Source organism: Homo sapiens, chromosome 8 (assembly GCF_000001405.40).
Source record: "Homo sapiens chromosome 8, GRCh38.p14 Primary Assembly".
Classification (NCBI taxonomy): Eukaryota; Metazoa; Chordata; class Mammalia; order Primates; family Hominidae; genus Homo; species Homo sapiens.
In genome coordinates this window covers 61,462,036-61,474,791 of record NC_000008.11, presented here as the reverse complement: position 1 = coordinate 61,474,791, position 12,756 = coordinate 61,462,036, and the positions used below count along the sequence as shown (strand labels likewise).

Here is a 12,756-nt window from a genome sequence, read left to right as displayed (position 1 = left end):
GCCCTGCTTCACTGGGAAAATAGAGTCCTCGGGAACTTCTCAGCTTTGGGGTGCCACATGCACAGGTGCCTGATTACTGTAAAGAGAGCTTCTTGCTCTTAGAAAAGCAACAACTTCCTCCACTCAGGCTCGGGGTCCTAACCAATCTCACCTGCTTGGTGTTATCAATTGTTCCCTCTCCTACACCTTCCAATTCTCCCTCTTTACTGGATCTTTGCTATTAGCATTGAGATATCCTAGTGTTCCCATTTTCAACAAAAGAAGAAGAAGATGAAGAGGAAGACAAAGTCAGAAAATAGAAGAAAATAGAAAAACAACAAAAAAGCCTTCTGGATCTTTACATGCCTCTCCAGATACAAATATCTTCCCCATCTCTCCCTCTGCTCACATCCTACCTACTTCTGAGCCCGCTGCATCTTCATAACCACCCATGTGACTCCACCACAGCTCTTGTGAAGGCTTCCTATGACTTTCAAGTCATTATGTCCAATGGATACCTTTAAATCTTCACCTTACTTGGCTTCTCAGAAGCAGTAAATAGAGTTGATGACTCCACCCTTCCTGAAATCCTTTCTGTTCCTTTGGCTTCTGCAACACCACATCTAGTTTACCTCCTACCATTCTCCATGTTGGAGAATGGTGTCTTGCGCTGTATGACATTCAAATACTGAACTTCCTCTCAGCTCAAACCTAGGCACTCATTCTTCTTTTCTTTCTACAAGCTCTCTCTGAGAGTTCTCCTCCATTCCCATGGCTTGCATTTGCCTCTTTATGCCTTTGAGTTCCTGATTTTTCCCACTCCAGAATTTTCTCCTGAGCTTTAGAACAGGAGAAACATGTTCTAAACAGCCTACATGACTACTCTAACCAGATACCACACAAGCCCTCTCATTAATCATGTCCAACACTGAATTCACAATCATCTCCCCAGTCAGCACTGCTTCCAGAGTTCCTTATCTTGGGAAAAGGGTCTGCTTTCCATTCAGCAGCATTGCATCTTTTACATATGCAAAAGACCTCTGGTCATTCCTGAAGCATCTTACCTTCATCCCAATATCCACTTGATCATCAGATCTTGTTTATTCTATTCACTAAACATTTTTGAGTCATCTTCTTCTCTGTACCTCCACGCTCAGCACTCCAATCCAGGCTACAATGATCTCCTACATGCACCATTACTGTAGTCTCATACAGCCTTCTTTTACTACTCTCTCCACCTCCAATTTGTTCTCCTCACAACAGAGTGAAAATTTTAATAAACTTATCTATTCATTGCACTCATTTGCAAAAACTTTTCTGAAACTGTCCATTGCTTATAGGACAAAGTCCGATATTCATATCTGCCCTATGCAGCTCTGCACGGTGGGCCCCTGTGCATCACCCCCGTCATTTTCCCCCTCGCTTTCTGCTCTCCAATGTTTCTGGTCTTTTTTTTTTTTTTTTTTTTTTTAAATTCCGTGAATTTCAGATGTCATCAATTGTAGGACATGTCTTCATTTCAGGGATTTTTAATGTGATGGAAAATGCATCTTATAATTAATCAGTAAAACACAGTAGTTCCTGACACTGGTCCTTCCAAATGCAGGGTGTTTGCTCTGAATCCCACCCCCATGCCTCCCTTTTTGCTTGGGGTACTTTTCTCATATTCCAGTTTTCAGCTTATATGTGACTTCCTCAGGAAAGTGCTTCCAGAATTCCACCCAAGACTAGGTTAGGATCCTCCTCGTTACACACCTGTATCCTCATGGTACACTTTAACTTTTCAAAGCACTTATGGTGACCATGAAACAGCTGTTTGTATGGGTAATGTGTTTAAAGTCTGTCCCCCTTCATAGACCACAGACTCAGAGACACTGCAGGGGCAGTGTCCGCCAGGTTAACCACTCTGTCTTCAGCAGATAACACCTGCACTGACTTCCTTTAATCCTCACAGCACAATAATAAGGTAGATCTATTATTATCTCCTTTCTAGAGAGGAAAAGTAGGCCACAGAGAGGTAGCTACTCAGGTCACACAGCTATTAATTTGAACGCATAAAATCTGATTACTGATTCTGTTCTCTTAATTGCCCTCTATCCTACTTGTGTATAATGTATACTCAATGATTATTGAATGAATGAATAAAATTTTTAAAAATTATTTTAAATGTTAATTGTTAATGGAAATTCAAAAACTGGGAGAAGTAATGAGACTAAGGAGTTGGTTACTGATAACCTTAGAGACAATTTCAAATTCTAATGAAACATTGATTACAAAGACCATGTCTTATTCCTTTATGGATGGTTGATGATATCTTCCTCATCACTCTACAAAATAGAGTGTTCCTCACAGCATTTACTGTTACACGATTTTTCCTTTCTTCTCTCCTTCTTTTGTTGTTTCCTTCCTCTCTCTTTTTTGTTTCCCTCCTTCTCCTCCCCCCATGTCTTTTTTACCTTCTTTCCTTCCCTCCCCTCTCCAGAAACTATGTCATGAGCACCTATTATATACTAGGGAATAAGTGAGGCACAGTGGCAAATAAAAGAGCATCATCCCCACCCTTGGGAAACATATGATCTTCAGAAAGGAGATATAATACATAGGTAAACCAATAAATACATAATTATAGAATTGTGGTCCCTGTTAAGACAGAAACAGAATTCAGTGATAGAGACTAGCAGATGGGAAGAGAGGGGCATGGGGAGGGGGACAAGCGCCCTTGAGAGGAGTGGAGGTATAAACTGCACCCAATGAATGAGGAGCTGACTTGAGCAAGGGGAGGAGCATGCTGGAGCAGGGCTGTCCTGGAGCAAGTACAAGCCCTGGGATGCAGAAGGAGTGGATGGAAGCCAGTGTGATGGGGGCTGTGTGTGCCCGGGAGGGGCCTGCAGGAGGCCAGGGGAAGGCTTTGGAGGGAGTTAGGCGGAGAAGCATCATTATGACTTCAAAAATTACACTCAAGACCACAGGGATAACAGTTTAGATTTGAGGGCTGGAGCAAAAGGAGCAACACTAATAAAGACCCAACAAAAATGTAATTGTCCTCCAGGCCAGGGGGCAGGCTCAGACTGGGAGGGGACTGGCAAGTGGGGAATGAGGGCTCCTGTAACCACAAAGCCCTCTTGGCTGACCAGGAGGAAGGGAGGTAGGGGTGCTGTGCTGCTAATTCCTCCCTCTTCTTGGCTTTGCTTTCTGTGGCCCGCTCCCAACGTGCTTGGCCATGCTCTGGGTGCAGGGCTCCAAGGGTACAAAAGCCTTGTATTGACCCTATGCAAAAACTAAGGCAAAGAAGAGGGAAAGAGGCAGTATAAGTCTGACTTCTAATCAGGAACTCAAGGCCCCTCCTTTCAAGCCACCATGCATAATCATTACCTGCTTCTCTACTAGGGAGTTAGGATTTTTCATTTTTAGTGAGAAAACTTTTATTTGGAAAGAAATCAAAACCGTGACAAAATGGCAAGCCTTCTACACAACGCTGGGAAGGAAAGAAAGGTAATAGCCATCATGCTGTTTTTCTGTGGTGCTCTGCAGTTGACTTTCTCACTCTGCTGCCTTCTGACCCTAACAGCAAGCCGGGAGCTCTTGCACATGTTACATCCACTCTGTAGTCAAGGAAGCTGAGACTCAGCAAGGTTACATGGCCTGCCCAAGGTATTATAAATAACCAGTATAAGAAAATGACCAGATAGGAAAATGAAGACACATAGAAAGGAAAAGACCAGTGTAATCATGGCCTCAAAGTCACAAGGCTGAAACAAGCCAGCAAGATCAGGATGCTGGGCTGTGTACGTGGAGCCCTGGAGGCCTATCATGAACAGCCACAGTGCACAGTGAGGGCGCTTGTTGGTGCTGATCACCATGACAACAGGAACCCTGAGAGGTGCGTTCTAAGTGGGGCTGTGAAGGAGTTTCCAATGAAATGCTCGAAGCTCCGCAATGCTCATTTATGGGCTTGATATAAAACTCTAATACCACCATTTGAACATCTTAAGCTCAGCTGATATCTACAACAAAGTTTGCCTAAACCTAAAAAGAAATTCAACCATGGTATGCAAGCTGCACAGTGTTTTTAAGAAAATATTGCAGAGAGACTTCTACCATATATTATGTCAAATATTTGTTTTCATTCATATGCTCATTACGGCTCCTAAGACAGATTCATTGCTGGCTAGATGTTAGGCACAAACAGCATCAGCTTAATTGGAATTGGGCAGAATGGTTGTCTACCAACAGCAATATGTCACAAGAAATAAATATTCCTTGTCATTCTTGCCTAGGCTATATCTCCCTTTCCAAATAATTGCATCTGAGCATGGTGCTTCAGCAAACAGGCATGTTTTTCAGAACATAACACAGTGAGTAATCAAACAGTTCATTTTTGAAACTACACCAGGCAGTTTATTCACATCCGTTCATTTCCTTCTAATTCAACTCTATTTCTTTTGTCTGCCAGTAGCTTAGAACTCTTTATCTAATAATTTTTCACATCATTCTTTAAGAGAAAACATGCCCCTGTACCCAACATTTTAACTAGCCCCATTCATTCTCTTATTAACTAAATTCATTATATAGATTTTCTTTCACTCCAATGTTACACAGCTGTACAGGTTGTGCTTGTAAGGAGATGGTCCTTTCATTTATGCCACAGAAAAGAAAGCTGTATGTAAGCAGGACATCTATCTCGGCCAGATGTACAAGTAATGGTGAGGCTATGCAGCTATTTTTCTTCAATCTTTAAGAAATGTTAACAAATTCCTATTGGCATCTGTGGAACACTCCAGTATCCAATAACCAGCATTAAACACTGGGAATTTATGGCTTACCTTAGAAGTATTTGCTTCTAGAAGTGATGATACATCTCAGGCATTAGCTGCTTGAGTAGCAGTGAGACGCCAAAACTAAGAAGTTCAATCACATTTAATTTGGACATCAGACAAAGGCAATTTAGAGGACAGTGGAGACTGCGGATCATTCATTAAGAAATGATGCATTATATAGTGTTGTTGAATGGAACAGCCATATGGAACATCTGTTCCCAAGCCATGAAGTAAAATAGACTCCTTGCCCTGGCTGCTCAGAAGACAACGGTCCTCCTGTTCCCACACTGCCAACCCTTATTCTTTTCATATAGATGGTATTTCATGATGATGTATTACCTCTGCTGGAAATGAGTAGTTATCCAGCAAATGCACAAATTCACCCTATAAAAAGAGGACAACATGCTCAAAGATCACCAAGGTCACAGCTAATTCTATTGACAGCTGAAAACAGTTAAGGTGACTTTTACTACCCAGGCAGGGGCCAAGTGGGGAAACATGGCCTAAAATTTCCTTCTGGCTCAGAAATTTGAATTTAATCCGGGCATTCTCAGCCTGCCACCCACCCCCAAGATCAGATGGCTCACCGTGTCATTATGACATCTCAATTCTTCCATGCGGGATCTAGGAGGGGTATTTACAGAACATAAGGATGAAGGTATTTGGCCATAAGAATCAGAAGTAGGTCTTCTATGGCATATGTCATGCCAATTTAGGAAGTCAGCGCAGAATTAATAACTAAAATGTTATGTTTGTGATCTGCACAGATGGTGTAATATTGTCACTTTTTGCATGGAGGTGCTTTGCTGACACTGGTCTTTTGATTCCATGAAACACAGGAGCCTGTGATCTCAGCCCAGAGAAAATGCTCAGTAAATATTTGTTGAGTGGTCATGGCCAGGATAGGCTGGCCATTGCTCTCTCCTGGGATTCTGCCCACATTAGAAGACCTCTGCATGATTCTTCGAGGTCACTCCACCTCTGCTTTTCCTCAGACTGTTTGGCCTGGGTGGCTGTGCTGCTGTGTCACAGGCAGAGGGCAGCACCTCGTGGGGTGTGGTATCGCTCCATTCAGCTCACTGGCCACAAAAGGGAAGCTAACATGTGCTTTTCTGCCCCTGGTAGTTTCTGGAATTCCGATAAGCGGTGGCTCCACTGTCATCAGACTGTGAGTTTCTCTTTCAGTGCTGAGACATGAATGTTTATTTGGTAAGTCCATGAGCTGAATGAGGCTGAAATAGCACATAGTAACTACCTTTTTTTTTTTTTTTTTTTTTTTAGTACTTTTACTTATATGGCTGGGATATCAGACTGAGCTCAGGTTGAAATGCAGATGATTTTGCACCAGGGAGGGGCCTCCAGGAAACAAAGAGGATAAAAATTGTCAGTCAAGATTCAGCTTAGTTAGGTTCCATGAACTTAAATTGCTCCTAACTTTCCATTTCAATCACTGGAGTAGCATTTTCTATACTCTAGTCTCTGAGAGACAAATGTGCAGTGAGATGCTAACAGCTGTTCTACCCAAAAAGAATCCTAGGACAAGATATGTTTGGCGATGCAGCTTTTTTCCTTGTAGAACTTCTCAGTACCTTAGCTATGATAATGAGAGAAACAACAAACAAACATTTTTTAAAATCTTAGTACCACTGTGAAAAGGACACATCTATGCACCATACACTTATATTTTTTAAACTAAAATATTAGCTATGTAAGGAACATATGCTACGTGCAAGACACTAGGCTTTTGGAAAAGCAAACAGCACAGAAAAATCCCCAAGACTCAAAGTTGGGGGCCTTGAGCTTTCATCCCAGCCATTTCACATAAGCAGTAATGAGCAAAAGGTTTGTTTTACATTGTTGTTAATATTCCATAAAACTTTATAGAAATTTCACATTTACCCTCTCTGAGATTAAAATTTAAATTAAATCTAAAATATGTTTGTGTTTATTAAAATTCAGTATCTTAGGATAATTCTGTGAATTAACACTGATTACACTGAATTTGTGATTATTTAACAAATGCAATGTTTTCGGTAGCCAGCGTCTTTCACTGCACACACATACCCTGTGGGGGACAGAAGAGGTCCTTAGTGGTGGAAAGTCTGACGATCCCTAAATGACATCTAAGGACTTCCTCCAGATCTAAACTTTCAAAAGCCGCTAATAAGAAGAATAATAAAATGTATTCTATATAAACTTTTTGTGGAGAATGTTTACCCTGCAAACAGAGGCTTCTGCAATGTGGTACAGCCAAGATGAACCCATTCAAGCTCAATGAGAGGACAGCCTAAAATCCCCACTTTCTCCCCCTGCTGGCCATGGCAGGAACTACCTGCCATTCCTGTATGGTGGGGATATACAGTTTCGATATGGTCCGTACCTCTTCTTTGGGAAACCACTGCCCCTTCCTATAATAATCCTGTTTCGTCCAGGATTTGTACCCGTGCCTGTCCACCAGAATGAACACACTTCTCATTCCTGGAAATCAAACGCACCCTCTCCCTGGCCATGGTGATGGGTTCAGAGGCAGGACAAAGCCTGGCTTTTCAGAGTCCCCCCTTTTATTTTTGCCAAGAAATACCGGGAAAGATGCTCTTTGTTTCCTTGAGATCATCAGGTCCATTGTTAATAGCCGCTGTCAGGACTGGCTAAGAATAAATGAAACAAATGAAAGGACGCGTCTGAGAACAATTGTGATATCTAACCTGCTGCAAGGGCACCCGCCATCACTTATCCTTCTGCGTGTTGCATCTAATGAGCACTGTCCCCAGAACTCTCTACCTTTGGATCAATCTGCATTTAGATGGATTCAGCTCCAGGGAATGGCTGAAGTTTCTTACCCTCAATCAAAATCACAGGACAAAATTTACATGAGGTTTATCACCAGTAATCTTTTAACAATTATATATATATGTACATGTATATCTGTGTGTATACATACAGATACATATATTTGAAGACCTCTCAAAGTGGCTCATCCTTCACCAGTAGTTACATCATGATAGTGTTTCTGTGTGTGCACACGTGCCTTTTAAATAATATCTATAGGCCAGGTGCGGTGGCTCACACCTATAATCCCAGCACTTTAGGAGGCTGAGGCAGGTGGATCACCTGAGATCAGGAGTTCGAGACCAGCTTGGCCAGCATGGTGAAACCCCATCTCTACTAAAAATACAAAAAATTAGCTGAGTGTGGTGGTGGGCACCTGTAATCCCAGCTACTCGGGAGGCTGAGGCAGCAGAATCACTTGAACCCGGGAGGTGGAGGTTGCAGTGAGCTGAGATCGTGCCACTGCACTCCAGCCTGGGCAACAAGAGCAAAACTCCATCTCAAAAAAATAATAATAAAATAACAATAATATCTATAGCCATTTTAATTACTTTATCAGCAATAAAGGCAAGAACCAGAAAGTAATTGCTTTATATGGCCTAACAATTAAAGGTCACAAACTCTACATGCTGATTAAAAAATAATGCAGAAATTTCCTGGCAGAAATTTCCGGCCTACACCCCTGAATAAGCCTGTGTGTAGCAGGACTGTTGGTTTCCAGCCCTAAGCCACTCTTTCTTCCTTTTTCTCCAACAAAACTCCTTTCATTTAGGCATTATGATCTCCTGTGAGAGTCAGAAATCAGCCCCTGCCTGAGAAGTCTCCAGTTGTGCTGGACACAGTGGAGAGAACCTGGTTCTTGTGGCCATTACTGAGTCCCTAGAATAACACTCCTGCAGTCACCTGTCTTCAAGATGTCTCCTGTGAAATAATGCATTTTCCTCATAGTTTAAAGCAGTTCATTTGGGTTTTCTTCTTTCTTGCAGTGAAAATAATCATAACTAATACAAAGCTTATTTACTATTCTTTGTTGGACAGTTTTAATGTTGGGTTACCTATTCTCCAAGCCTAAAACATATTCAAGGAGTAAATTAGGTAGGAGAAAGTGAGGTGCTTCACACATACACTCCTAAGAACAGAAAACAGCTGATGATGTGGGAGCAAAGAAGTGGACTTCTGAAAAATAAAATAAAATAAGGAATAAGGCCAGGCATGGTGGCTCACGCCTGTAATCCCAGCACTTTGGGAGACTGTGGCAGGTGGATCATGAGAGTCAAGAGATCGAGACCATCCTGGTCAACATGGTGAAACCCTGTCTCTATTAAAAATACAAAAAAATTAGCTGGGCGTGGTGGTGCATACCTGTAGTCCCAGCTACTTGGGAGGCTGAGGCAGGAGGGTCAGTTGAACCCGGGAGGCGGAGATTGCAGTGAGCCGAGATCATACCACTGCTCTCCAGCCTGGCAACAGAACGAGACTCTGTCCCAAACAACAATAACAACAACAAGAAAAAACAGGAATAAAAAGTTAAAAATATAAAACTCAGGGTCATTTAGTACCAGAGCAGAGAATGCCACACACCTCAAAAGCCCACCATGGCATTATTGTATTAAAGAGCAGAACAATATTGAAATAATTCATTTAGAGGAATTTCCAGCTAAACCAATCATTATTTTGTTTTTTCTACATAAGGGTTGAGCTACAATTATCCAAAGAAAAAAAACAAGAGCTCATTAGAACCAGTCATTCACTGAGAGTTCCGGGAGTCTTGGCTTTTACTCTACGTGGATACCAGAAAGCATGGGTCGAGAGTGCTTTGGAACACAGTGGCCATCTGTGCCCAAAAGCCAGATTACGAAAAGTGATTGGGTCCCAAGGTCGGTGCACAAAGCCCACTTGAATCCAAATGGACCTGAAGCATGTAGGGAACTATGGGGGTCGGGTAACGGGGTTATGAAAATAGATGATGTGAACCTACTGGAGATTACAGTGCTGTTCAGAGGGCAGACCTATGTCATCTTACTCAGAATAAGCAAGTGCTTTTTAACAAGGCCACACCACAGGGAACACGCTGCCCAGAAAGGTGCCTGCCTGTCTCTAGACGGTGCAAGCGGAGGCTGGTTGATGTTCTGTGCTGGAGAACAGACCTCTCTGTCAGGTGAGAGACTGGAAGAGATGACCTGTAAGGTCTCTTCCAATTCTGTTCCCAATTTTTGCACATCCATGTGGGTTCTGAGTGGTCAAAAAGACAGTGAATAGTGGCTGCTCTGTTCCTCATCAGTGAGGTGCCTTACAGGAGATATACGCCAACAGCAGGGCTGATCCCTCCTCTCCAGTCTCTGCCCATCCTGCCACTGCCTGAAATCTCCGGACAAGCGTTCAAGGAAGTCATCACAAAGGGCAGCAGCAGTGGGCAGGACATCCTTGTGGCCATGGTGGGGAAAATGAAGTGTGTGCACACTTGCTAGCTTCTCCTGCTAGCTAGTCTTGAATTTTGGCTCCCGTATGTAATGAAATGCAATACTCCTCCAAACCCTGGGTCAGCCAAACCTTCCACATGGAGGCTTCTCTGAGAGTCTTCCTGGACAAAATTAGTGATTCTTCCTCAGAACGCTGTAGCAGCATCTTGCTCCTCCTTTGTAGTGCCTCTCACATTCTACATTATAGTTATTTGGGGCACGTTTTCTCTTTCCTACCTGGATGAAAGATTCTACAAGCAAGAACCATGAGAGCCTTGTTAAAGACAGGGGGTTGGGGGAGGAATTGGCTCTTTCTATCTGAAAGCCAACTAATCAGTTTTGAAGCAATTAGACAAGTGTACCACGGATGGGTTTTGGAGCTAATAATATTCATTCAACATTAATATTAATTCATTCACATATAGGCATACTTTGTTTTACTGTGCTTCACGTCATTGCCCTTTGCAGATATTGTACTTTGTACACCTTGAAGGCTTGTGGTAATGTTGCATTCAGCAAGTCTATTGGCACCATTTTTCCAACAGCATGACTCACTTTGTGTCTCTGTATTACATTTTGGTTATTCTCACAATATTTCAAATTTTTTTTTTTTTTTTTTGAGACAGAGTCTCGCTTTGTTGCCCAGGCTGGAGTGCAGTAGTGCAGTCAGTGGCGTGATCTTGACTCATTGCTACAACCTCCACCCGCCCAGGTTCAAGCAATTCTCCTACCTCAGCCTCCTGAGTAGCTAGGACTATAGGCACCCACCGCAAAACCTGGCTAATTTTTTTTTGTATTTTTTTAGTAGATACGGGGTTTCACCATGTTGCCCAGGATGATCTTGAACTCCCGAGCTCAGACAATTCTCCTGCCTCGGTCTCCCAAAGTGGTAGGATTACAGGCTTGAGCCACTGCACCCGGCCCAAACTTTTTATTATTCTTATATCTGCTATGGTGATCTGTGATAAAAAAATTTGTGATGTTACTATTGTAATTGTTTTGGGGGTACCGTGAAATGTGCTCCTATAAGACAATATACTTAATTGATAAATGGTGTGTGTTTTCTGACTGCTTCACAGATCAAATGTTCTCTCATTTTTCTCCTTCTTCTTGGGCCTCGCTATTCCTTGAGACACAACAGTATTGCAACTAGGTTAATTAATAACCTTACAATGGCTTCTAAGTGTTTAAGTGAAAGGAAGAGTTGCACGTCTCTCATTTTAAACCAAAAGCTAGACATGATTAAGCTTGGGGAGGAAGGCACACTGAAAGCTCAGAAAGTCTGAAAGCTAGGCCTCTTGCATGAAACAGTTAACCAAGTTGTGAATGCAAAGGAGCATTAAAAGTGCTACTTCAGTGAACACACAAATGCTAAGAAAGTGCAACAACCTTATTGCTGATATGGAGAAAGTTTTAGAGGTCTGAATAGATGATCAAACCAGCCGCAACATTTCCTTAAGCCAAAGCCTAATTCAGAGCAAGATCCTAACTCTCTTCAATTTCATGAAGGTTGAGAGAGGTGAGGAAGCTGTAGAAGAAAAATTGGAAGCTAGCAGAGGTTGGTTCATGAGGCTTAAGGAAAGAAACTGTCTCCACAACATAAAAGTGCAAAGTAAAGCAGCAAGTGATGATATAGAAGATGAAGCAAGCTATCCAGAAGATCTAGGAAAGATCATTGATGAAGCTGGCTACACTAAACAACAGATTTCCAATGACAAAACAGCCTTCTATTGGAAGAATAGACTTCTTCCATCTAGGACTTTCATAACTAGAGAGGAGAGTCAAAGCCTGGATTCAAAGCCTCAAAGGACAGGCTGACTTTCTTGTTAGGCGCTAATGCAGCTGGTGACTTTAGGTTGAAGCCAATGCTCATTTACCATTCTAAACATCCTAGGACCTTTAAGAATTATGTTAAATCTACTCTCCCTGTGCACTATAAATAGAACAATGAAGCTTGAATGACAGTATATCTGTTTATAGCACGGTTTACAGAGTATTTTAAGTCTACTGACGAGACTTACTGCTCAGAAAAAAAGATCCCTTTCAAAATATTAGTGCTTATTGACAGTGCTCCTGGTTACCCAAGAGCTCTGGTGGATATGTACAAGGAGGTGAAGGTTGTTTTCATGCCCAGCACAACATCCATTCTGCAGTCCATGACTTTCACATCTTATTACTTAAGAAATACATTTCAGCTCAGGAGGCTGAGGCATGAGAATTGCTTGAACGTGGGAGGCAGAGGTTGCAGTGAGATGAGATCATGCCATTGCACTCCAGCCTGTGTGACAGAGCAAGACTCCAGTCTCAAAAAAACAAAACAAAACAAAACAAACAAACAAACAAAAACATTTCATAAGACTATAGCTACCATAGATAGTGATTTGTCTGATGGATCTGGACAAAGTAAATTGAAAACTTCTTGGAAAGGATTCACCATTCTGGATGCCATTCTAGAACATTCAAGATTCATGGGAGGAGGTCAAAATATCCACATTAACAGGACTTTGGAAGAAGTTGAGCCCAACCGTCATGAATGTTACTCCTCCTTTTCCATAGCCAAACATCTATAGGATAGAGCCAGTTTTCCTCTGATTTGGCATTAGTTCTGGCTCTCATCTTCCCAACTAAGTCTCTGCATCAGCCTTCTAGTGGCTTTTAGTCTCTGATGCACA

At 42.2% G+C, this 12,756-nt stretch overlaps 1 protein-coding gene across 4 annotated transcripts in view, besides 1 other annotated feature; it reads right to left on the bottom strand.

Moving 5' to 3' along the window:
* CLVS1 (clavesin 1) overlaps window positions 1–12,756 on the bottom strand; it is a 536,782-nt gene that overhangs the window by 26,838 nt on the left and 497,188 nt on the right. The gene's annotated exons all lie outside the window — the stretch shown is intronic.
* Window positions 5,768–6,062: an enhancer, noted in NCBI's record as "tiled region #11405; K562 Activating DNase unmatched - State 12:CtcfO". NCBI's record gives its function as "activates a minimal TATA promoter and a strong SV40 promoter by Sharpr-MPRA in K562 cells {active_cell/tissue: K562}" and the evidence as "EXISTENCE:reporter gene assay evidence [ECO:0000049][PMID:27701403]".